The sequence below is a fragment of the Homo sapiens genome, chromosome 7 (genome assembly GCF_000001405.40).
Source record: "Homo sapiens chromosome 7, GRCh38.p14 Primary Assembly".
NCBI classification, from domain to species: domain Eukaryota; kingdom Metazoa; phylum Chordata; class Mammalia; order Primates; family Hominidae; genus Homo; species Homo sapiens.
The window spans coordinates 99,096,944-99,123,535 of NC_000007.14; the positions used below are offsets into that span (position 1 = coordinate 99,096,944).

The 26,592-nt window shown below is 39.0% G+C and overlaps 1 protein-coding gene across 7 annotated transcripts in view, besides 5 other annotated features; it reads right to left on the bottom strand.

Moving 5' to 3' along the window:
• Window positions 1–26,592, bottom strand: part of SMURF1 (SMAD specific E3 ubiquitin protein ligase 1) — a 116,669-nt gene that overhangs the window by 69,504 nt on the left and 20,573 nt on the right. Inside the window, exons 2-3 of one of the 7 annotated variants that reach the window (XM_047420636.1) lie at window positions 24,203–24,260; window positions 23,700–23,824 (exon numbers count right to left, since the gene is read on the bottom strand). The exons of 4 other annotated variants lie outside the window; for them this stretch is intronic. The gene's annotated coding sequence lies outside the window, so the exon portion shown is untranslated. Of the gene's footprint in view, window positions 1–23,699; window positions 24,282–26,592 lie in introns of those variants that run through there. 2 more of the 7 variants (XM_047420637.1, XM_047420635.1) reach the window with 2 other exon arrangements.
• Window positions 1,429–2,283: an enhancer, noted in NCBI's record as "H3K27ac hESC enhancer chr7:98695995-98696849 (GRCh37/hg19 assembly coordinates)". NCBI's record gives its function as "activates a minimal SCP1, AML or CMV promoter by ChIP-STARR-seq in naive H9 embryonic stem cells {active_cell/tissue: H9 hESC(naive)}" and the evidence as "EXISTENCE:reporter gene assay evidence [ECO:0000049][PMID:30033119]".
• Window positions 2,284–3,137: an enhancer, noted in NCBI's record as "H3K27ac hESC enhancer chr7:98696850-98697703 (GRCh37/hg19 assembly coordinates)". NCBI's record gives its function as "activates a minimal SCP1, AML or CMV promoter by ChIP-STARR-seq in primed H9 embryonic stem cells {active_cell/tissue: H9 hESC(primed)}" and the evidence as "EXISTENCE:reporter gene assay evidence [ECO:0000049][PMID:30033119]".
• Window positions 5,579–6,778: an enhancer, noted in NCBI's record as "MED14-independent group 3 enhancer chr7:98700145-98701344 (GRCh37/hg19 assembly coordinates)". NCBI's record gives its function as "activates an origin of replication core promoter dependent on BRD2, BRD4, P300/CBP and CDK7 cofactors, and independent of MED14, by STARR-seq in HCT116 cells {active_cell/tissue: HCT116}" and the evidence as "EXISTENCE:reporter gene assay evidence [ECO:0000049][PMID:35650434]".
• Window positions 11,924–12,426: an enhancer, noted in NCBI's record as "H3K4me1 hESC enhancer chr7:98706490-98706992 (GRCh37/hg19 assembly coordinates)". NCBI's record gives its function as "activates a minimal SCP1, AML or CMV promoter by ChIP-STARR-seq in naive H9 embryonic stem cells {active_cell/tissue: H9 hESC(naive)}" and the evidence as "EXISTENCE:reporter gene assay evidence [ECO:0000049][PMID:30033119]".
• Window positions 14,978–15,047: an enhancer, noted in NCBI's record as "active region_26311". NCBI's record gives its function as "activates an Ori minimal core promoter by ATAC-STARR-seq in GM12878 lymphoblastoid cells {active_cell/tissue: GM12878}" and the evidence as "EXISTENCE:reporter gene assay evidence [ECO:0000049][PMID:35858748]".

The following is a 26,592-nucleotide window of genomic DNA, read 5'->3' on the forward strand; positions in this document are numbered from 1 at the left end:
AATGGAATTAAACTAGAAAGCAATGTGAAAAAATAACAGGAAAATCTTCAAACACTTGGATAGTAGACATCACACTTCTAAATAATCCATGGGTGACAGGGAAGGTCTCAAAGGAAATTAGAGAATATTTTGAACTGAAAGAAAAAAAAAAAAGTTTGTGAGATTCAGCTAAACTTAGAATGAAATTTATAAGATTAAATGTTTTTATTAGAAAAGAAAAAAGTTGCAAATCAGGCATCTAAGCTTCTACCTTAAGAAATTTTAAAAGGAAAGCAGAATGAACCATTGCAATCATAAACTCTAACTTGAGCTTCACTGAGTACCAAAAAGAGGGGAGAGAGAGGGAATGAGGCAAAAACAACAGTGAAAGAGGTCACGGCTCCGAATTTTCAACAGTGATTGCAGTGGCTTGAATGTGCACCCCAAGGAGTAAATGTTGGAAACTTCATCTTCAATGCAACTGTGCTGGGAGGTGGACCTCATGGGAGATATTTAGGTCATGAAGGCTCTACTCGCATGAATGGATTGATGACATTAAAAAAGGGCTCGAGGCTGTGAGTTCAATCTCTTGCTCTCTCTCTCACACATGTTCTCTTGCCCTTCCATCTTTCACTATGGAATGACGCCACAAGAAGGCCCTTGCCAGATGCTAGCACCCTGATATTGGACTACCCAGCCTCGAGAACTGTAAGAAATAAACTTCTTTTATTTATAAGTTACCCAGCCTGTGGTATTGTGTTATAGCAACACAAAACAAAGACAGTAATGAATGGCTTCGAAGACAGTAATGCACTTCAAAAAGCCCAAACAGGATAAATGAAAAGAAATACACACCTGGTTACTTCACAGTGAAACTGCAGAAAGTGAAATACAAAGATAAAAATATTGAATGCAGCCACAGAAAAAGGAAAGATTACTTTCCAAGTACGAGTGACCAACTTCTGAAATGCCACAGTGAAGATTTGAAGACAGAAATATCTTCAAGAAAATAACTGCTAACCTAGAATTCTCTACCCAGCAAAAATAGCTTTTAAGAATCAAGAGAAAAATGAAGATCTTTTTCAACAGACAAAACCCAAGTTAGCCACCAGCAAAATTTTCACTGTCAACATCAAGAACTGCTTTTATTGAAAACACATAAAACGGAGAAAAAAATCCCAATTAGTAAATTATTATAAAGTAATTCTACAATAAAGCTAAATTTGCTATAAGAATAAACAAAATCATCTACACCCTTCTCCTTATTTCAGGAGTTAAATCTGATCCTCACATTTTAAATCTAACAGATAATTACCTAATTTTCTGGTAAGGTAAAGAAACTGAGATGGAAGCAGGGGAGACGATAAGATTTTAACCCCAAAATGAGCATTTTCCTATGGGCATTACAAAAGGTAACTGAGTTAGAAGGACCTCTGTTTATGAACATGTTAACTGGCTGGGAGGGAAAAAAAATGACTCTAATCAAAGAGAGAGAAGTATGCATATAATAACAAAAGACAGAATGGTCTCACAGTGTAAAGAGAACTTTTTTCAATTTGACAAGATCATGCCTATGATATCGAACAGTGCATTTTCTCATTTTCATCACTAATTGACTCATATTTCTTCCCCATTGCAACAAACCTTAGCTCCGTATTCACAAGCCCTCTGCTTGGAGCTTCATTGACAAAGAACAGCAGCATACAAAATAGCACCACAGTGCACTGAGAAATGTCACCAAACACTAAGCTATGGGGCAACTAAAACTGGACAGATTTATATTTGTTCTATGTCTGGTCAAGGGAAACTGCAGAATTTAGCTGAATAATACACTATTTCCATTCAGACACATGTTAGTGACTTTCGGCCCTCTGATCATCTTCCCTCCTCATTAAATTATAAGATCCTTTAAGGAGGTTACTCTGCATCATTCACTGAAAACAACATTTAATAAGCGCTTTGTGCCAGGCCCTGGAATGGAAATGATTGAGATCCCTCCTTTCATCTTTGGCAGCAGCAAAGACAAGGAAATAAATAATGTGAATAGCGTTATGAAGACACTGTGATGGGAAGACAAGAAGGAGTAACTAGGGAGTAGATCATTCTATAGAAAGAACATGTGTAAAGACATGTTTGAGAGGCAGAATGCATTCAGGGAAATGTGTTTCTATGGAAGGTTTGGTTCAGGAACAAGAGGAGACTAGAGCCCGATGAGAAAAGGTCTTCTATGCAATGTTAAGGAATTTGGACTTTGCCCTGGAGGCAATGAGGAGCCAAACACTACTACTTTTTTTTTTTTTTTTTTTGGAAAGCTATAAACTCTGGCACGGGAGTAGAAAATGAGAAGGAATGGAGAGAGGCAGGAGGCAGGAAGTTGACCTCTTTGGTGGCTGTTTCAATAGTCGAGGGAGGTTTTACATTGCTTTGCTGTCACTCCACAGTATCTAACACAGGGTCTAACACATAAAAGAGAACAGTAACACTGAACTGAATTGATTCTAAGAAGAAAATACCTAATTTCTTACAGAGTGGTTTATCTGCTTTCTAAGGTCCGTGCAGTAATTCCTTTCCCAGGATAGGGGGGGAAATGCCATTATCATGTACACGCTGGCAAGACCACTGCTGTGGTTTGGTCTGTCCCCACCAAAACTCATGTTAAAATTTGATCCCCACTGTGGCAGCGGTGGGAGGTGGGGCCTATGGGCCTACTGGGAGGTGTCTGGGTCATGGGGGTGGAGCTCTCATGAATAGATTAATGCCTTCCCACGGGAGTGAGTTCTCACTCTCACGGAATGGATTCATTCCCAAGAGGGTGGGTTGTTCAGAAGAGTCTGGCTTCCTTGGTTTCTCTCTCTGGCCATGTGGTTTCTTTGCACACATCATTTCCACTTCTGTTTTCCAACATGAGTTAAAACAGTCTAAGGCCCTCCCCAGATGCAAATGCTCAGTCCTGAACTTTCCAACCCCCAGAATCATGTGCTAAATAAACCTCTTTACTTTATAAACTATCCAGTTTCAGGTATTCTGATACAGCAACTCTAAACGAACTAGGACAGCCACCAGTGCCTTTCACAGCATTCCAAATATACAGTCAAATCCCCGGAGAATCCTGGTTCTCACAGGTTTTTTGTGTGTGTTCATCTTATCACATTTACAGTAATCTTAAAACCTTTAGTGGGAAAAGTTAAAAAAAAAAAAAAAAAAGCTGCAAAGCAAAATGCTCTGACCCCAGAATGCCAAATATATACTTTTAACAATATAAACTAAGCAAAAGGAAAGATGTTGTACTCTACCTAGTAAGAAAGTAAGAACGCATCCAGCAGTTAATTTCAATTTAAAAACGCCATTCCGGCCCTGCCCAATGGCTCACGCCTGTAATCCTAGTACTTCGGGAGGCCGAGGAGTGTGGATTTCCTGAGGTCAGGAATTAGAGGCCAGCCTGGCCAACATGGTGAAACCCCGTCTCTATTAAAAATACAAAAATTAGCTGGGCATGGTGGCGGGCGCCTATAATCCCAGCTACTCAGAAGGCTGAGGCAGGAGAATCGCTTTAACCTGGGGACAGAGGTTGCAGCGAGCCAAGATCGCACCACTTCATTCCAGCCTGGGCAACAGAGCAAAACTCCATCTTGAAAAATAAACAAAAATAAAAAAATAAAAATAAAAATGCAGTTCAGAATTCTCAGCCCAACATCACAGAAATATATATCCAGCTTTCCCAGGAGACTAAAGCAGATTTATTTGAATAAATTTTGTATCTTTGTTAAAACAACAGTTATCAACTCATAGTCATAGCTTATAAGTTAATACTGGAAACATTCTATCAACAGTCAAACTGAGACTTAAAACAGAAGACTAGAGAAGGAAGATTTCATGATGTGAAGTGAAGAGATGAAATTTAGACATATACATCTTACAAAGCAACAAGAATATTCAGAGTCAAAGAGAGATACAATAATTCTTACCAAATTTTAAATCCAAAGCCGAGAAAGAGTGTTTCAGAGATAAGCAAGGTGGAGAAAAGAACACTATACATAATGAAGTGATTTTGAGACTTTTCTTAAATGGAGGAAAAGGTGACCAATTTTTAAATGCATTCGATAAGTTTTCCAGCCATCTCTTCATTTTAGAACTGAATCCAGTTTTCTGGGAGGCTACCAATGAACTTGGTTCTTGATAAGGAACAAAACTATTATTAAGTTCTGAAGAAATATGGGGGGGTAGGGAATAGTGAAAGGAATGTCCCATCCCCGGCCTGGGCAACATGGCAAAATCCCATCTCTACAAAAAAATACAGAAATTAGCTGGGTGCAGTGGTGTGTGCCTGTAGTCCCAGCTACTCAGGAGGCTGAGGTGGGAGGATCACTTGAGCCCAGGAGCTCGAGGCTGTAGTGAGCTATGATTGCACCACTGCACTCCAGCATGGGTGATAGAACAAGACCCTGTCTCAAAAAGAACAACAACAAAAAAGAATGTTCCATTCATGTAACATGCAGTTTCTACTAATTTTAAAACTGAGCTACAGTGTTCCTGGCTCATATTTGGAGCAGAGATTTAAACAGCAAAAAAATACCCTACCAGAGACATGCACAATTAAATTTCAAACTGAAACACAATAAATAGATTTAATTTATTGCCCAATGTGTAATCACTTTTCGTAAATGGAGGTGGGAATTCCACATCTAAAGGTCTAGACATTTTAATCTCACCCTCAAGGGAAAAAAATGATACACACGGCCGGGCATGGTGGCTCACGCCTGTAATCCCAGCACTTCGGGAGGCCGAGGCAGGCGGATCGCCTGAGGTCAGGAGTTGGAAACCAGCCTGGCCACTGTAGTGAAACCCCATCTCTACTGAAAACACAAAAATTAGCCAGGCGTGGTGGTGTGCGCCTGTAAGCTATTGGGAAGGCTGAGGCAGGAGAATCATTTGAACAGGGAGGCGGAGGTTGCAGTGAGCCGAGATTGTGCCATTGCACTCCAGCCTGGGCGACAGAGCACGACCACGTCTCAAAAAAAAAAAAAAAGATACATACAAAACAAGGGAATAATTTCATTTTTCTTATTTTGCATTTCCATGTCTAGGCACATTCAAAGACTTTTAATGTGATATTATGATGCACATTTGAAATTTTCAAAGACAAGGCATTGTATATTGGCTACCCTTTTATATGGGCATACTAGGATTACACATTTTGATTCCACTTAAATTTGTACTATATATAAAAGATAGGTAAAATAGGATCCTATACATAGTAACATGGAATTTTTATATTTTTATACATTCTAAAATCTCCCTAATATTATGATGAAATTATTTCAATATTTTGTTGTTCTTTGTACATATTAATATCCTACGCATCTGTCTCTAAAGAGTTTTGAAAGAGAATTTATCCACTCAATAGTTAAAATGGTTAAAATGGCAAATTTTATAATGTGTATTTTGCCAAATTTACAAAATGAATAACTGAATATACCCAAAACCACTGATATTTACACTTTAAAGGGGCAAATTATATGGTATGTGAATTCTATCTTAATATAGCTGTTTAAAAAAACTTACAGAGCCCTCTTCCAGAAAAGCTGCCTTGTCAACACTTTGATTACTCATTATGTGAAAATACAAATATTGTTGATTCTGTGTCAAACGGATGATTCAGAAGAGATGGACACTGACTGTGAAGAAATGTTAAGAATTCCTTAATCTATTTTTCTTATACTTTTAAATTATGTATATACAAGAATAACACATGCAAAAAATCTATACTTAAATAAGTGGCTCTTTCAATGTTATAAGTAAAGGTTATAGATAATTAGAAAGCATCAACATTATTTGATTCATAGCATTTTTTCTCTTTTGGTGGTGCACGTAATTGTAAATCTTACAACTGCATTTTTTTGGTTTTTTTGTTTTTTTGTTTTTGAGACACAGTCTCACTCCGTCACCCAGGCTGGAGTACAGCAGTGCGTCTCCAGGGCTCAAGCGATCCTCCCACCTCAGCCTCCCAAGTAGCTGAGACCACAGGTGCGTGCCATCATGCCTGGCTTATTTTTCTATCTTTAGGGGAAATAGGTTCTCACTATGTTGCCCAGGCTGGTTTCAAACTCCTGAGTCAAGCGATCCACCCACCTCAGCCTCCCAAAGTACTGAGATTACACGTATGAGCCACCACACCCGGTTACAATCAATTTTTTTTCTTTTTTGGTGGCACATGTAATTGTACATCTTACAATCAATGTGGTTTCAGATTCTGAGTTGAGACTTAGCAAAAAGGAGGAAGAAATAGAGACATGGAGCTTCTAATCTCTAAACACCTATGTATACACCACTCCCAGCACTGTATACATACGCCTGTGTTCATACACATGTGGCCCTTTTCCTAAGCCTCCTGTGAAATCAAACACATTTTCATTCCAATAAAGCAATTTCTGGAAAGTTATAAAAGACACCGGGGAAAGGTATTTAAAATGAATACCATTTTGCTAATTAACTGTGTTTACTATTACAATTACTAAAATAAATGTACTCCCCTTATGTGACGGTATGACAAAGCAGGAATCTGATGGACATATTATGTCAATTACTCATTTGAATCCATGACTCAGAGTATTTTAAATATACATATGGAAACCAGAGTCTTTTCATAACCAGACTCTACAAACAAGAAATGTGTGCCAAGACGTGACAAACACAATCTTAAAAAGCTTCACAGATTTAAATCTTCCATTTAAAGCACAACTTATTTTATCAATGCTTTTATGTAATCCCCAAAATACAGCAACACTGAGTTTAAAATTCCAAAGATGTTTTCTGGTTTCAATGATGGAAATTGCTTGTCCTGTCTACAATAAACACACACAGTAGGACACAAAACTTCAAAGAGAAAATTCATATATTGATGGAGACAATTTTTGAAATTTTCTTGTCATATATGAAAAGCAATTTGTGATGGATATCTCCGGGCCACAACTTTTTTTTTTTTTTTTTTGAGATGGAGTCTCAGTCTGTCACCCAGGCTAGAATGCAGTGGTGCGATCTCAGCTCACTGCAGCCTCTGCCTCCCGGGTTCAAGCAATTCTCGTGCCTCAGCCTCCCAAGGGATTACATGCGTGCGTCACCACGCCTGGGTAATTTTTGTATTTTTAGTAGAGATGGGGTTTCACAATGTTGGCCAGGCTGGTCTAGAACTCCTGACCTCAAGTGATCCGCCTGCCTCGGCCTCCCAAAGTGCTGCGATTATGGGCATGAACCATGGTGCCCCGCCGGGACACATAACTTTTCAACTGGAAGAAAAGTATTCTAAAACGTTATATTTTTACAATAACTTAAGAATCATTTTGGTCACTATAGAGGTAACATATGCTCATAGAAATCAGAAGAAATAAATAGTAATAAAAGTATCCATGATCTCACTACCCAGCTATAACTGCTATTACTACTTTTTCCTCTAGAGCCTTTCTGTCTTTATCAGGGAAAGGACAGTGAAATGGCTAAGTGCCTGGTTCTGGAGCCTCACTCCCAGGTTGAAACCCCCCTCTTCCACTTACTAACCCACGTGATCTTGGGCAAGAGTCAAAATCTCTATGCATCATCTGTAAAATAGGAATAGTAGTAATACCTACTTGATCGGATTTTTAATGTAATTATCCTGCCCATACGGTTTTGCTACCTGCCACTGTCACTTAATAGAATGTGTGAACGGTTTCCATGTCATTAGATATTCTCACATAAAATGTTTAAGGGCTGCAATTATTCCGATACATGGCTGTTCCATAATGTATTAAGATCCCTAGTGCTAGGCATTTAAACTGCTTCCAATTTTCTGCTATTATACAACAAGCAGTTATATGAGGAGAGTAGGAATGATTGGAAGCTGGGGATCCCACATTACAGTGGCAATGACAGCAATAGGGGCTTCACGCAGACCAGGCTGTTTGCCTATGACCAGGATGCTGGTTTCCTGGTCACCCAAGCTACCTTGCTTCTTGCTTTTTCCCAAGTTTGGTGCCCAGCCACTGGCTCTTCTAGGCGCTCCTAGCAGCCTTCCAATTAATTTTCTTAAGCCTAAATGAGCCAAAGTCAGTTTCTGTTGCCTGTAACCAAAACACCCTTCTGATAGAAAAGATAATCATTCTCTTCTATATATATCCCATTAATTTCAAAATGGACTCAACAAGAACCTGTGATACACACACAGGTGTACACATGCACATGCACGTGAATAAGCTACACAACCAACCTTCACAATCTGCCACATCCCAAGAAGCAGCCAGTGAAACTAGACAGCTACAATGCAAAGCGCAAATTCTCTCTGAAAGAAAGACATTTTTATCACAACGAAAATTCCACTGTGAGAGTCTTCATGCACTTACGAGCTTGAGATGCTATACTTTCACTAATGCAAAATTATATAGAATACATAAGCTACAGAAAGGCTAATCTTTCTCGAAGGAAAAAAAATCAATTACACATTATACCCAAACACAAACACTAAAACAACAACCACTACTACTAATTACTAACAATTACACACTACTCTATACTATATGCCAGGTACTGTTGTAAACCCTTTTCATGTTAATCTTCTAATCTAATTCTTGAAATTAATCTATCATAGGGACTAGTCTTATCCCATGTTATAGGTGAGAAAACTGAGGCATCAGAGAGACTGAGTAGCTTTGCCCAAGATAACACAGCTATTAAAGATTTGAACCCAGGCAATCTAGCTTCAAATCTATGTTCTTTACCACCATATATACTGTTTCTTGATTTTTCTCTTATAATGACAGATTTTTGCATTCTACTCATATATTAAATTTTGGCTGTGTGTGTCACAGAGGGGCCTAAACGGCCAGAGGATATTTATCACACAGTTGGATGAAGACTCTCTATATCGCCTATCCCACTAAGACTACAATTCCAGTCCACAGAGTGACTATCATTCCCCTTCTCCCAACACATTTTGCCAAGTGCTATTCTACTTCCAAGCCTTTGCTCAATCTATTTGCATTACTTAAAATGCCCTCCCAATCCGTCATCCCTTTGCCTATTTCCAACCAATCATGCCAGGCCAAGTTCACATGCCACATCCTACACAAACCTTCCTCAAATCCCTCCAGCTGGAATCAATCTGCCTCTCTCCATACTTCTGTGATTCTCTTCACCATTCCATCTTTCCCTTCCCAATGTAAAATTCTACAAAGCAGGGACTACATCTGGTCAATTCTCCCTTTTTATTTGATATCCTCTATAGTACAGAAAAAGGTTATTGCCAAAAGTAGTTGTTCAATCAACAACTACTGAAGTTAAGAACATTGGGGTGTTAAAGCCTTCTCTGCCAAAATGCAACCCCAAGGAGGCAAACTGGAAAATATCAAAGATTGAGAAAAATTCACCCTATCATGAAACTACTATAAGCCCCCCTGTAAACCTATATCTAAAAACCTATCATTAAGATACACTGTGGTTTGTGAAATTTCAGCATTTATTCCAGTAGGTCCTTTTATGGTCTGAATGTGCACACTGTGTGAAATGAAGGAGGAAATTTTTTGGGAAACTATTTAAAATATTTGGTAAATACTGGGAACACAAGGTCACATGAACTACAAGGAAAAGGCCTGAAACTCGCTAGTACTTTCATAAGCAGTGTGGGTGCTAACTGCAAGCAAGTCAGACAGGTGGCCAGCCTCTGTCTTTAACAATTCCATTGTTGCCGGGAGCAGTGGTGTATGCCTGTAATCCCAACCGCTCAGGAGGCAGAGGCAGGATCGCTTGAGCCTGGGAGTTCAAATCCAGCCTGGGCAATATAGCGAGACCTTGTCTCTTGAAAAAACAGAAAAGAGAATTCCAGTGCCTTCTCCGACCTCTTTTTTTCCCCCTTCAGTTGGTTTTTCCCAAGTGATTTAAGGATTGAATCAAAGCTAAGCAGCTCTTTGCTTGTTTCGTTAGCAGCTCATGACTGCATTAATCACAGGCACTACTGCGGTGAAGATGAAATATTCCTTTTGCATTTTCCCCAAGTAAGTGTGGAAAGATGTAGGAAGAAATCCAAAGGTAGTTATAATTATTAACCAGATGGAAATAACACATCGTAGATTCTGTGATGTTTTTGGTAAAAGTACATTCATGTGTCACCAGAAGGAACAAGATTGAACAAAGATGACTCACTGCCCTTAGCACCTGCATAGCAGACGTAGAGAGTTCCCATCACCTCTGTAGCAAGGGTGTGAAATTGAAATCTACCCTCATTAATTCTTCTGCCACTACAAAGGACCCTCACCATGGGGAGCCTCTTATAGAAAGCATTCTTTTCTGGAAAACTTTGTATATTTCAAAATAACTTAAAGAATATAAGTGGATTATTTGTAACTCAAAGGATAAATGCTTCAGGGGATGGATACTCCATTCTCCACAATGTGCTTATTTCACATTGCCTGCCTGTATCAAAACATCTCATGTACCTCATAAATATATACACCTACTATGTACCCACAAAAATTTTAAAAGATAATAAAATTTTTGTAATTGTCACCAAAAACAAACGAACAAAAAAGACACTGACATTAAGATATTTCTGATTGGGCTTCATTGATTCCTTAAGATCCAGACTCATGAGGAGCTCCTAGAAATCGCTCGGACCTAACACAACTGACAAATGGGAAACAACCATTCTTGAACACAGAGAAAGTTGAGCGTCAACCTCCAGCCATTCTCACTGCAAACGATCTTTCTGTCCTATTTGCAGGGTTACCCTGCACTAAACAGCATACAGTTACAGGAAGCAAGAAATATTAAGCTCCTCCCAGGCTTCTCGGAGCCAGTCCCAGGGTGGTATTAAGTGGCATTCCCGGAGAAAAGAAGTTGCTCTTAATGCAACCTCACACGTGATCGATCTTTTGACCATTAGTAACACCACCAGCATATGGAGACATCTTATTGTTCACCTAAACAGCCAGCCTGTTGGCATATATACACACCTGACCCAGAAACTAGGTGACAAGTATCCCAAACGTGTGAAAAGCATGGAAAGTGAAGTTGCTGACCTAATTTGCCTATGTGAGAACCCTTTCAAAAGTCATTCTTCTTAAAATCTCATTTATAACAGACATCTCTGAACTCACAAGTTTAAGAAAATCCCTTGAAAGTATGCAAAAACCACGAACAGAACAAACCTCATCACACTGTAATGAAATTCACAACCTACTCACAACATAAAGAACACTTGGCCATTGTTGCTGTGCAGAGCCTTAACAACTGGTCCATACCAGGCATTCCCTGTTACGCCCTTGCACTAAAGACTTGCAATTTTGTTTTGATACGGAGTCTCGCTCTGTCGCCCAGGCTGGAGTGCAGTGGCGCGATCTTGGCTCACTGCAACCTCCGCCACCTGGGTTCAAGCAATTCTCAGCCAGGCATGGTGGCTCACGCTTGTAATCCCAGCACTTTGGGAGGCCGAGGCGGGCAGATTACCTAAGGTCAGGGGTTCAAGACCAGCCTGGCAAATATGGTGAAACCCCGTCTCTACTAAAAATACAAAAAAATTAACCGAGCGTGGTGGTGCATGCCTGTAATCCTAGCTACTGGGGAGGCTGAGGCAGGAGGATCGCTTGAACCCAGGAGGTGAAGGTTGCAGTGAGCCAAGATCGCACCACTGCACTCCAGCCTGGGCAATAGAGAGAAACTCTGTCTCAAAAAAAAAAAAAAAAAAAAAAAAGAAAGAAAGAAAGAAAAAAAGAAAAGGACACAGGAGCATTGCCCATTAGATGAGCAGAGCATTTTCCAGAGCCATTTCTTCAATTCCATCACTAGACACACAGCTGCAAGCCTAAAGTAATATGCACACTTTAAATCAAGGAAGAAGTTTAGTAAGAAGGCTCTTAGTAACCTTCTGAGCATAACAGAATGGAATTCAGTATTGACAAGAGTAACAAATTTGTGGCGTGACCGGAAATTTGGAAGAGGTTGAGTTTTCCTAATATGATATTAAGCTAATGCATCGTGTTGAAAGTCATTCTGTACACCCAGAAGTGACATGTTAAGGGAATAGCATGATTCCTGATGTGCAGTTATTTACCCACGTTCTTTCCTCTCCAAGCCTACTCTGCTATACTCTCTCTATAACGCTGGGGCTAGAGTTTCACCAACTTACCTAGGTTTTCCAGACCCCTGTTGACTGACTCCCTGTTAACTTCTGCCAACAGGAAGTCCTAGAGAGAGGATGGAAGATGACAGGAGAGAAAAAGGGACTTCCTTCCTAGTTTCCTATTTCTGTCAGTATGCCACCAGCAGCAGCAGATGGTGGTTCCAGCCCCCATCTTCCGTTGTCACTCTTAGTGCCAGCCTCGCCACACCCCCTCACAGACACCGGCAAGCCGCAGGGCTTAGCCCCAGGTTGTCCTCAGGCTATACTGTGTTCACTCCCTCACTGGCTGGCTCCCAAACGCTGACCAGATGGGAGCCCTCTCAGTTGACTTGGCACCCACCAGGTCACAAACCCTCCCTAGGGGTTCAAACACTCACTGAGCTGCACCCACACCCTCAAACATCTGTACAGCAGTTCTGCAGTGCCTCTCTCGGAGGCCTGGAGACCAGCCCCACAGGAGCCCTGCACCAAGCTCCAAAACTGTGGTAACACCATCTCTTATTTTTCCCCAGCCCTGGAAGTGACAGTGTCTGCACTATCCTAGTACCCCATTTCCTTTGTATTTTGTCAGCCTTTGAACTCGTATATAACCCAATCCTCATATTCAATCTCTTCCATCTGAAATGCCTGGAGTAGTTTGTTTTTCTGACTGGACTCTGAGTGAGTCACCAAAGATAACGAAAAAGCATTTGATAAAATTCGACATCCAAGTATGATTTTTTTAAACTTAATACAAGAAAAAGATATAAATGTTTTCTCCACATGATAAAATATACATATTTCAATTCAAAAGCTAATATCTCGCTTCATGGACAAACATTAAGACACATTTCCATCAAAGCCAAGAGCAAACAAGGACATCCCTCAAACCAGCAACACATAGTACATAGTACACAGACTCCTTTGTACTGTAGAAGAGTGTTGGGATGCACTAATGACTCAACAGAATAAGAAAAAGAGCTAGAAATAAAAAATGAGGTCCTGAAACATTGTTCATTGATATGATTATCAGGAAAATATACTGAAAAACTATTATAAAGAATAAGAATAATTCAGTAAGATAACTGGGAACACAATTAGAATACTGAAAACAACAACCTTTGTATCTACAGGCAATCTTAGTTCACAGATGTGGTAAAGATCTCATTTAAAGCAACAGTGAAAAAAGATAAAATTCCTAGAAATAAACTTTAGAAATAAAACCATATGAAGAAAGTTTTATATATGAAGGGTTGAACAAATGGAGAAACATAACAAGTTCTTGGATAAAAAGATGCAACATAAAATCAGTTCTTTCCAAATTAATCTAGGAATTTAACACAATCCTGTGAAAATATTTATGGAATTTTTCTTGGGGAAGAATCAGGGAACTAGATATCAAGAGCTAGCTCACAGGAAATAAACATAAACAGCCCGTGAATATATGAAAGGACCCTCAACCTCACTCAAGAGAGATGCAGATTAAACCTACAATAAGATGCCATCTCTCACCTATCAGACTGGCAAAAATCCAAGTTTGACAATCTATTGAAAAGATGATGCAGAAACAGACTGGAACAAATGCAAAATGTTACAACACCTACGTAGGGAAGTCCAGCCATATCTATCATATCTTTTTAAATGCATGTGCCGTTTAACTCAGCAATCTTACTCTGGCAATGTCGTCCATAGACAAACTGGCACATGTAAAGAAATGACATGCATGGGGCTACTTAGCACATCACTGAGGAACAAAGGCCTGGAAAAAGCCGAAGTGATCCAGCAACACAGTACTGACTGAGTAAATTCTGGTAAATACACAGCCATGAAAAAGGATGAGAGCGGTCCCCAGGAAAATAGTACATGACAAAAACAATACACAAGTGGTAGACATAGGGTGCCGCCTTTTGTGTAAAAAGGGAGTTAACAAGTATTTTAGCATTTGCTTGTATTTGCATGTTGAGAACCATGGAAGGATCAATAAGAAACTAATAAAATAGCTACCAACTGCAGGTGCAAGACTTACTGAGTACTCCTTTTTATAGCACTTTGATTTTTGAACCAGTTCAATATATTACCCTAGTCAAGAGGTAGTGGTAATAACTAATAAATAAATTTTAAAGGCCAAGAATAATGGAATAAAGGTCAATGATACAAAAAGGCAGTTCAGTGGAAAACCAAATACGAATGACACCTAAAAAGATGTTTATCCAAAATCATAAGAGAAAAACCAATAAACCAAAAAGAGATGGCATGTATCCATCAATTTGTGAAGATCAAGAAATTTGATACTAAGTAGTGTTGATGATGGTATAGAGAAACAGCCACTCTCAGACATTGCTGGTAGGCATATAAACTAAAATAATCTCTATGAAGAGCTATTTAGCAAATTTCAATTTAAATTAATTTTAAATAAATTTATTTTCTTTATAAATTACCCAGTCTATGGTATTCTGTTATGGCACCAGACAATGGACTAAGACAGTAGAGAACACCAAGTCTGTCACTCTATTAAAAACAATGAATAACTGGCAAAAACTGCCAGAATCAACTGTTTCAGAACACTGGGAAATAATCAAAAGCTTACTACAAGCAAGGGAACACCTAATACAAAATAAACAGCTAAGAGAGAGTCATGGAATTTTAATTTACCCTGGTCCCATCCACTCCCCAGTTCAGCAGCAGCCTTGAAGGCAACAGCTAACATTCCAGTACAGGTACCTAGTACCACAGGGAGCAGAACATATCTTATTCTCAAAGAATTGTGGTTGACTGATTTGACCTGTCTAGTGGCTCCCTGAAGAACTGGCTCAAAGGATATGCCTGTCTTTTGCCTAACTCAGAACTCTCCCAGGGCTAAGGTAGATATCAAGGGTAGAAGTGTGGGAGTGGTAGAGGTCTACAGGGGAGGAGAGGTGGGGTGTAGGGGCATGCATTTGTTGAAAACATTTAATGTACTCATTGCTATTACCTGGGGCAAGAGACAAACAATGGACTAATGTAAACACTTGGGAGGAAAGGCTAAGGAATGAGATACTTTAGGGAATATGGGCTTCATTTGAAGAGCTCCTACATATTTTTGTGAATCAAGAAAGTCACATGCATGCCACAACTGGGTGCATGCTCAGAAAAGACCTAAGAGGGCCCTAAGCTCCTACCTCTGGCTGACTTTCAGGATCTTTGCAAACAGGAAGTAAAAACTAAGACAGAGTTGTAAAATGCCTGGCTGCACCTTGAAGGCGTGCCTCACAACATACACACAGCCCATCTGCAAAGACTGGGGGGTTTCTGTTGTTGTTGTTGTCATTCCAGACGTGTAAATAAATCTCTAGTGATTCATCAGCTGACCACTAAGCTAGTGGAAGAGAGGCCTCTGTGGCCACACATGACAAAGGATACAGACTTCACAAAATTAGTTCAGAAAAGTCCTAAATGAACAAGGCATAGCTATAACAAGCAGCAACAATCCACAGGGAGGGGGAGCATCTCATTTCCTAAGTTACCACATTATAATATACAAAAAATCCAGTTTGGAACAAAAAAATTACAAGACATAAACAAAAAACTATGGCCTATACCCAGAAAAAAGAAATTAACAGAAATTGCCCCTGAGGAAGCCTAGTCACTGGACTTACTAGACAAAGACTATTTAAATCAATGGTCCTAAATATGCTTGAAGAGCTAAAAACAAAAACAAAAGCCAGGTCTAAAGAACTAATGGAAACCATGAGAACAGTGTCTCAACAAATACAGAATATCAACAAAGTGACAAAAATTATAAAAAAGCAATCAAATAAAAATTCTGGGTTTGAAAAGTACAATAATGTAAATTAAAAATTCACGAGAGGCTCAACAGCAGATTTGAACAGGTAAAAAATGAAGTCATGAGAATAGATAAACCTGAGAATAGGTAACTTGAGGTTTTCTGGCTTGATGAACAGAAATAAAAAAAAATTTTTTTTAAATAAAGAGAGTCTAAGAAGTCTGTGGAATACCATCTGGCATAACATAAGCATAATAGGAATCCCAGAATGAGAGAAGAGAAAGGAGCAGGAAAATTATTTTTAAAAATAATGACTGCAAGTGTCCCAAACTTGATGAAAAACATGAATCTACACATTCAAGAAGCTAAACAAACTTTTAAGTAAGATAAATTCAAAGGGATACACACAGGAACACATTATAATCAAATTGTTATATGACAAAGACAAAGAGAGAATCCTGAAAACAGCAAGAGAGAAACAACTAATCATGTAGAAGGCATCCTCAATAAAAGTCACATCTGACATCGCATCAGAAACCATAGAGCCAAAGGCAATGGAATTATATATTCAAATTACTAAAAGAAAAGCATTGTCAACCAAAAATTCTATATGTGCCAGAACTATCCTTCAAATACAAAGGAGAAATGAAGACATTACAAAGCTAAAAACCAAGAAAGTTTGTAGATAGTAAACCTGCTCTACAAGAAATGCTGAGGGGAGTCTTTCAAGCTGAAACAAAAGAACATTAGACGGCTGGGAGCGGTGGCTCACACCTGTAATCCCAGCACTTTGGGAGTCCAAGGCGGGCAGATCACAAGGTCAGGAGATCGAGATCATCCTGGCTAACACGGTGAAACCCTGTCACTACTAAAAATACAAAACAGTAGCTGGGTGTGGTGGCGGGGCCTGTGGTCCCAGCTACTTAGGAGGCTGAGGCAGGAGAATGGCGTGAACCCGGGAGGCGGAGCTTGCAGTGAGCCGAGATCATGCCACTGCACTCCAGCCTGGGTGACAAAGTGAGACTCCGTCTAAAAAAAAAAAAAAAAAAAAAAAAAAAAGAACATTAGACAGTAACCTGAGAAATAAAGAACACTAATAAAGGAAAATATATAGGCAAATTTAAAAAAGGAATAGTAATGTTATTTTTGGCTTGTAACTCTTCTTTTTAAAATATGATTTAACAGATGGCTGCATAAAAATTATTACAAATACACACTGATGAGCACATAATGTATAAAGATATAATCTGTGACAATAACAAGATAAAGTGGTGGACAGAACTATATAAGAGCAAAGTTTTTATATATCATTGAAACTAAGTTGGTATTAAGTTAAACTAGATTGTTATAAATTAAGATGTTAATTGTAAACCACGGGGCAACCACTAAGAAAATACTATTTAAATTTGTACTAAAGGGAATTAAAATAATACACTAGAAAATATTTACTTAACATAAACAGGAGATTACTTTTAGATCCAATTACACAAATAGGTTGAAAATAGAAGGATAGAAAAGGATAACCCATGCAAACAGTAACCAACTGCAGTGGCTATATTAATATCGGATAAAACAGACTTTAAGACAAAAATTGTTATAAGGGACAAAGAAAAACCTTATATAATGATAAAAGAGTCAAACCATCAAGAAGATACAACAATTATAAGCATATATGAACCTAACAATAGAGCCCCAAATATATGAGGAAAAAAACTAACAAAATTGAGGGAGAAATAGCTCTACAATAATTGTTGGAGACAGCAATACTCCATTTTCAATAACAACAGAACAACTAAACAGAAGATCAACAAGAAAACAGAAGACTTAAAAAATACTATAAAGCAACTATACCTAACGGACATATACAGGACAGTTTACCCAACAGTAGCAGAAAGTGTATTCTTCTCAAGCACATGTGGAACATTCTTTAGGATACATATTAGGCCACAAAACAAGTCTTAATAAATTTTAAAAGAATGAAGTAATACACAGTATCTTCTGCATCCATACTGGAATAAAATTAGAAATCAATAACAGAAGAAAATTTGGAATTTACAAAAATGTGAACTTATACACTGTTAATCAATAGGTCAAGAAAAAAATGACAAGAGAAATTAGAAAATACTTTGAGAAGAATGAGAATGAAAATACAACATATCAAAATGTGTGGCATATAACAAAAGCAGTGAAGAGAACAAAATTCATAGCTATAAATGCATATATTGAAATAGGAAGACCTGAAATCAATAACCTAAACTTCCATCTCAAGGAATTAGAAAAAGAACAGCAAATTCAACCCAAAGCAAGCAGAAGAAAGGAAATATTAAAGATTAGAGCACAGATAAGTGAAATAGAGAATAAAGCAGCAATACAGAGAATTAAGAAAATCAAAAGTTGGTTCTTTGAAAAGATCAATAAAACTAACAAATCTTTAGATAGACTGACCAAGGAAAAAGGAGAGAAGATTTCAATCACTAGAAATAAAAAAATGAAAGTGGGGACACGGGCCAGTGCAGTGGCTCATGTCTGTAATCCCAGCACTTTGCGAGGCTGAAGCGAGTGGATCACCTGAGCTCAGGAGTTTTGAGACTAGCCTGACAACACAGTGAAACCCTGTCTCTACAAAAAAGACAAAAATTAGCTGGGTGTGGTGACACACACCTGTAATCCCAGCTACTTGGGAGGCTGAGGTGCGGGGATCACTTGAGCCTGGGTGGCTGAAGCTGCAGTGAGCTGAGATCATACCACTGACAGAGTGAGACCCTGTCTTGAAAGAAAGAGAGAGAAAGAGAAACTAGGGACACTACTACTCAACTTAAAAAAAAATACTATGAATAATTGTATGCCAACAAATTAGGTAACCCAGATGAAATGGACAAATTCTTAGAAATATGCATACTACAAAAACTGACTCAACACAAAAATTAAAAATTTTTTAAAGACTCAAGAAGAAAGAGCAAAATGAATAGACCTATAACAAACAGATTAATTCAATAACCAAAAGAACTTCCAAAAAGAAAAACTCTAAGACCAGATGGCTTCACTGGTGAGCTTTACCATAAACATTTTTTTTTTTAAATTAACAAAACCCCTTCATAAATTCTTCCAAAAATAAAAGAAGAGGAGCCATTTCCTAACTCATTCTGTGAGGCCAGTATCACCCAGATACCAAAGTCAGACAAAGATGTTACAGACCAATATCCTTTATGAGTACAGATGCAAATAATCCTCAACGAAATATGCACAAATTTAACATAGAGCATATTAAAAGGATTATACACCATGATCAAGGGATTTATCCCAGGAATGCAAGGGTTCAACATACAAAAATCAATCAATGTAATATGCCATGTTAATCGAATAAAGGGGGAAAACCACAATATCATCCAAATTGATGCAGAACATTTTTTTTGACAGATTCCAACATTCATGATAAAAATATCAACATCCTTGGAATAGAAACTCCCTCAACTAGATAAGGGACATCTATGAAAAACCCACTGCTTAACATCATATTTACTGGTGAAAGACCAAATGGCTTCCCCACTAATAACAGGAACAAGACTAGACTGCAATTGCCAAATAAGGTATCTGGATTGGAATGGAAGAAGTAAAACTATCTCTATTGAAAAATGACATAATCTTATATATAGAAAACCCTAAAGAATCCACACAAAAGCTGTTAGTGCTAATGAATAAGCTCTGCAGAACTGCAAAATACAAGATCAACATACTAAAATCAGCTGTATTTCAATATACCAGCAATGACAATCCAAAAATGAAATTCAGAAGAGAATTCCATCTACATTAGCATCAAAGAGAATAAAATACTTAGAAATAAACTTAACCAAAAAAATACAAGACTCATACACTGAAAATTACATTATTGAAAGAAACTGAAGACTTAGACATCCTGTGTTCACAGACTTAATAATATGAAGACATAATATTAGATGACAATATTCCTAAAATTAACCTACAGATTCAAAGCAATTTCTATCAAAGCCCCAAGTGCCTTTTTTATAGAAATGGATATGCTCATCCTAAAATTCATATAAAACTACAGGGGAGCCCAAATAGCAAAAACGATCTGGAAAAAGAACAAAGCTGGGGGACTCACACTTCCTATTTTAAAACTTACTACAAAGCAATAGTAATCAAAACAGTGTGGTACTGGCATAAGGAGAGACATTATAGATCAACAGGATACAATTGAGAGTCCAGAAATAAAGCCATATATTTACAGTCAATTTTTTTTTTCAAGAGGGTGCCAATACCATTCAATGGGGGAAAAGTCTTTTTCAACAGTCTTTTCAACAAATGGTGCAGGAACAACTGGATATCCACTAGCAAAAGGATAAATCTGGACCCCCCTATGTCACACTATATATAAAGATTAATTCAGAATAGAACAAAGATCTAAATTTAAGAGCTAAAATACTAAAACTCTTAGAATAAAACATAGAGGTAAATTAGTTATGACTTTGGATTAGGTAATGATTTCTTCAATATGATACCAAAAGCACAAACAACGCTTTTTTTGGTTTTGTTTTTGTTTTTGAGACAGAGTCTCACTCTGTCGCCCAGGCTTCAGTACGATAGCATGATCTCAGCTCACTGCAACCTCCGCCTCCTGGGTTCAAGCGATTCTCCTGTCTCAGCCTCCAGAGTAGCTGGGATTACAGGCGCCCACCACCACACTTGGCTAATTTTTTTGTATTTTTAGTAGAGACGGGGTTTCACCATGTTGGCCAGGCTGGTCTCAAACTCCTGACCTCAGGTGATCCACCCACCTCGGCCTCCCAAAGTGCTGGGATTACAGGCGTGAGCCACTGCACCCGGCCACAACAAAATTTAAAAATAAAGAACTCCATCATTTAAAACTTTTATGCAGCAAAGAACACTGTTAAGAAAGTAAAAAGATAACCCATAAAATGGGAGAAAATATTTGGAAATCATATATCTGATGAGTCTAATATCAAGAATATATATGCTGAGCGTGGTGGCTCACGCCTGTAATCCCAGCACTTTGGGAGGCCAAGGCAGGCGGACCACCTGAGGTCAGGAGTTCAAGACCAGCCTGACCAACATGCTGAAACCTGTCTCTACTAAAAATACAAAAATTATTGGACATTTCTCTAAGGAAGATATACAAATAATGGATAAATAGTGGACATTTCTCTAAGGAAGATATACAAGTAGCCAATAAGCACATGAAAATACGCTCATCCTCATTAGTCATTAGGGAAATGCAAATCAAAACCACAATAAGATACTACTTCCTACCCTTTAGGATGCCTGTAATAATAACTAAACAGCAAAAAACAAAACGATGATGGAAAATAACAAGTGTAAACTAGGATGTGGAGAAACTGAAACCCTTGAACACCACTGATGGGATGGTAAAATGATGCAGTGACTGGAAAACGGTTTGGCAGTCCCTCAAAATTTAAATACAGAATTCCATATGACCCAGCATTTCCATTCTTAGGTACATATCCAAGAATAAAAACATATGCATATGTTCACACAAAAACTTGCCCACAAATGTTCATAGCAGCATGATTCCCAATAGCCAAGAAGCAGAAACAATCCAAATGTCAATCAATTAAAAGAATGTGGTCTATCCATGCAATCAAATATTACTTAGCAAGAAAAAGGAATGAAGTATTGATACAAGTTACGACAGGATTGAACCTTGAAAACGTTATGCCAAGTGAAAGAAACCAACACAAAAGGCCACATACATATGATTTCATTTTCATGAAACATGTAGAACAGGCAAATTCATAGGGACAGAAGCAGATTAGTAGTTGTAAAGCCTAGGGTTGGGGGAACAGAAAGTGACTGCTAAATGAGTATTGGGTTTCTTTTGGGGGTGATGAAAATGTTCTAGAGTTAGATAGTGGTGATGGTTGTACAACACTGGGAATGTACTAAGAGCCACTTAATTATACACGTAAATTTTATGTTGCAAGAATTTTACCTCAACTTTTTTTTAAAGACAGCTCTATATTATACTGATATGGGAGGATCTCTAAGATAGTTCCTATTTATTTCTGCATTGTTATTTTTAGACAGGGTCTTGCCCTGTACCCAGGCTGCAGTACGTGATGCAATGACAGCTCACTGCAGCCTCAACCTTCTGGGCTCAAGCGATCGTCCCATCTCAGCCTCCTGAGAAGCTAACATGCCAATTTTTTTTTTTTTTTTTTTTTTTTTTTTTTTTTTTTTTTTTAGAGACAGGGTCTCGCTATTTTGCCCAGCCTGGTCTTGAATTCCTGATCTCCAGGATATATTGAGGAAAAAAGCAAAGTAAAGAACAGTGTATAGTGTGCTTCTTCTTAAAGGGGGATGGGGAGGTAGAGAAAGAATATATGTACAAGTATTTTTATCTAGCGTATCTTTGCTAAAATATACAAGGAATTGTTACCAGTGGATTGCCTCTGGGGAAGAGAACTTGAAGGCAAAGGCCAGGCGTGAAGAGATTTCCTTTCCAAATAAGCCATCTTGTACAGTTTAAATATTACACTGTGTATATATCACCTTCCCTCCCCACAAAGAAATTAACCTTTTAGAAAGAGTAAATATGTAAATAAAGGGGCCATTATATAATGAAAATATGCTCACAGGAAGGTTGTTGACCCATGCCAGGAGAAAGAAAACACTGGGAATGAGATTCTAGAAGTGTTTATCTAACAGTGACAGATATTGGAGTAATTTTAAAAAATATAATTAGGCATTTCCCAAATACAAGATTATATAAACAGTACAATGCATCATAATAGAAGCTGGAAGGCTGTGTATGTGACAACAGCCTGCTCAATGATAAGCTCCAATCCTCAGGACCCATGGCTCTCCAGGGACAGGAAAACCTGGGCAGCTTCCTCCTCTCACTTCAGATCTCCCCAGTTGGGGGCCTTTGGGCACTGACAGGTAAGGGGGTTCTCTATATTGAAAGGAGCTTTCAAACACCATTTCTATGATTCAAGGAGAAAGAGAGATTGTATAAAATACTCATGGTTATAGTCCAACACCCCATTTTCAACTCTTTTGTCTTGACTCTGAAGATCTTCCAACTGTCCCTAAAAATTTGATGTATTGGTTTAACTCATGGTGATACGGTTTGGATATGTGTCCTCTCCAAATCTCATACTGAAATGTGACCTCCAGTGCTGGAGATGGGGCTTACTGGGAGATATTGGGTCATGGGCACAGACCCCTCATGAATGGGTTGGTGCCATCCCCATGGTAATGAGTCAGTTCTTGCCCTGGTAGTTCCCATGAGATCTGGTTGTTTAAGGAGCCTGGCACCTCACCCCTTCCCTCACCATGTGATGCCTGCTCTCTGTCTTCCGCTATGATTGGAAACTTCCTGAGGCCTCCCCAGAAGCTAAGCAGATGCCAACACCATGCTTTGTGTACAGCCTGCAGGACCGTGAGCCAATCAAACCTCTTTTCTTTGTAAATTACTCAGTCTCAGGTATTTCTTTATAGTAATGCAGGAATGAACTAACAAGTATGGCTTCAAAGTCTCCAGGTACACTTACAGGCATCAGACAAAAAGATGTCCTATCATTGTCTATTACTACCTACAGTCTCCAACACAACCTAAACAAAGCAACTTGTTTCACCCACACTCCCTCAGAGTCGTGATTGTTTTCCACTTCCATCAGATTACCACCAAATCCTCTCTCCTGAGTTTTAAATTCATGACAGAAGCTGCTACTGATTCTGTCTACAATGGCAGAATCTCCCAAAGAAGCCGAGAGTGAGAGCCAGTCCTTCCTGCCCTGTCTTCTTTATTTCTAGAGCTGAAAAAAAAAAAAAACAAACCTGGAAGCCCCACTCAGCAGCAGCTTTTGCAGTCTGTGGCTTAATTTAAGGAAGTATTCCACGAAACCTCTGAAGAGAATCTAAATTTAGATTAAAGTCTTTCACCATCAATGGCAGCTTCTCAGCTAGGGAACCCACATGCAGAGCAGTGTAGTGGGAAAGGGAGAAAAAAAAAAAAACAACTTTAAAATACAGATAAATGTGTCATCATTGAGGGAAGTGAAGCTGGCATTATTTAGCCCAAAAAGATTTGTTTTTTTTTTTTCCCCAACATCTTAATTCTTGATAAAGGGGTGGTATACAAAAACTTTTAGGGAAAGAAACAGTGAAATAAGGAAGATGGATTTTCTTTACAAGATTTCTATTAAGAGAGCAAATAAGCTATTCTGTATAACAGGATGTCTGTAACGATAAAATCGGGCATCAAGATATTGAAATTAACACTGTCTCCAACAGAGTTCTCTAACACTGAGTCAGATGGGAGAGGAAAACCATCTACTTACCAGTTCTGTTTCCCCAACACCCTGCTCTTCCCAAATATGTCAATTTAGACCTTGAATTCTGAGATGGTAAGAGTCAAAGCAAAAAAAAAAAAAAAAAAAAAATAGTGTGAGTTGAGATTAATGACAATTAACAGGGAAATAATGCTATTTTCTATGCATTTTTCTAACCTTGAAGAGTAAAGCTGATCCATTTAAAAGCTAATCTTACCCAATGTTCCATTCCCAAAATAAAATTAAGATATTGTATATAATTTCTAAATTAACACTTAGCAGACCTATCCTCTCTCTCCTCCAAAACAACACCTAGTTTGCAAGCCATATCTATAGACAGATTTCAGCAGATAACTGTGTAAAAGAAAAGAGAGTGATATTTTCTCTGTTCTTTAACACTCGCATCCTCCTCTTCTCCCCGCCCCCAGTCAGCTGGGAAACACTCCCAGATCCTTCCCAAGCTTAGTTTGGAAGTAAAGCTCAGCTTTGATAAACACTCAGCCCAGGAAATGCTTTGGATCGTAGACCACTTAGAATAGTTAGCTTGTCCTTTCCCAAGAGGTCTCTTTTCAAACTCGGTTTGATAGGCGATTTGGCGGTTTTTAAATTTTCACTAAAACCTCTTGGCGCATTGCTGAGAGATAAAATCATAGCAGTCTGGAAACTGTACACATGGTGTAGGGATGCACCACACCCAAGACAAGCTCCTCAAACTCCAGGGGAAAACCATTGTTCCAACGAGCTGCCAACAGGACTCTCTGCAGGAACCAGGGAGCGGCGAGGGGAACAGTCTCCACTGCGCATCACCTTCACTGCGCCATCTTGGTAGCTGCTTGATATAGTCAGCAACAAACGATGCTGGACCCAAGGAAAAGACTACAAGAACCTGTTTTTAGCATTTTGAAATGTTAGGCCGGGCAGGTGGCTCACGCCTGTAATCCCAGCACTTTGGGAGGCTGAGGCTGGTGGATCATCTGAGGTCAAGAGTTCGAGGCCAGCCTGGGCAACATGGTGAAACCCCATCTCTACTAAAAATACAAAATTATCTGGGCATGGTGGCGCATGCCTGTGATCCCAGTTACTCAGGAGGCTGAGGCAGGAGAATCGCTTGAACCCGGGAGGCAGAGGTTGCAGTAAGCCGAGATCGGGCCACCGCACTCCAGCCTGGGCAATAGAGTGAGACTCTGTCTCAAAAAAAAAAAAGAAGAAGAAGAAGAAAAAAAAAGGCCGGGCGCAGTGGCTCACACCTGTAATCTCAGCACTTTGGGAGGCCAAGGCAGGTGGATCACCCAAGGTCAGGAGTTCAAGACCAGCCTGGCCAACATGATGAAACCTCATCTCTACTAAAAAATACAAAATTAGCCAGGTGTGGTGGCGGGCGCCTGTAATCCCAGCTACTTGGGAGGCTGAGGCAGAAGAATTGCTTGAACCTGGGAGGCAGATGTTGCAGTGAGTCAAGATGGCACCATTGCACTCCAGCCTGGGTGACAGAGCGAGATTCCGTGTCAAAAAAAAAAAAAAAAAAAAGTAGTGTCCTTGACCGCACTACTAAAAGGCTCACTCCATAGCACTGACATCAACCATGCCACAGGGCTTTTTTCTTTCTTTCTTTTTTTTTTTTTTTTTTTTTTTTACATAATTAAAATTTCACATCACTTCTCTGTGTCTTTTGGACAACCACTGGTGTTGCACTTGGGAACTGTTCAAAATATCTCGAAGATCAAATAATTGTCTATAGTAGCAAATCCTCTCAACTTGGTTCATGAGTTCAAAGGCTAATGAAGCAGAATCCCAAACGCTGCCTCAAAGTGACAGGCAGGTTCATGAAACTGAACAGAATGTGAAGCCAAGTTCTTTCACCGAGAGAAAATGGTGGCAAGGCCTGAGGACAGAGCCAAACAGAAACACAGGACAGGGCTAGCGTAAACCGAGAATTCCCAAACTTCCGGAATTCACTGAAACTTTTATTTATTTTTTTTTTAGTAAAACTGCAAGAGTGACCTTTCAAAAATATATATGCAATACATAATAATAAGGCAAAGTTTGCTCTGATTTTTAGTAAATAGCCAGTAGCAGTGTAAGCCAAGTTATAAATGGCAATAAAAAAATAAATATTATGGCCAGGGCGTGGTGGCTTACGCCTGTAATTCCAGCACTTTGGGAGGCTGAGAGGATCACTAGAGACCAGGAGTTCGAGACCAGCCTGGGCAACATTGTGAGACCCTGTCTCTATAAAAAATTAAACAATTAGCCGGGCATGGTAGTGCACACCTGTAGTCCCAGCTACTCAGGAGGCCAACGTGGGAGGATCTGCTTGAGCCCAGGAGGTTGAGGCTATAGTGAGCTATGATTGCACCGCTGCACTCTAGCCTGGGTGACAGAGAGAGACTCTGCCTCAA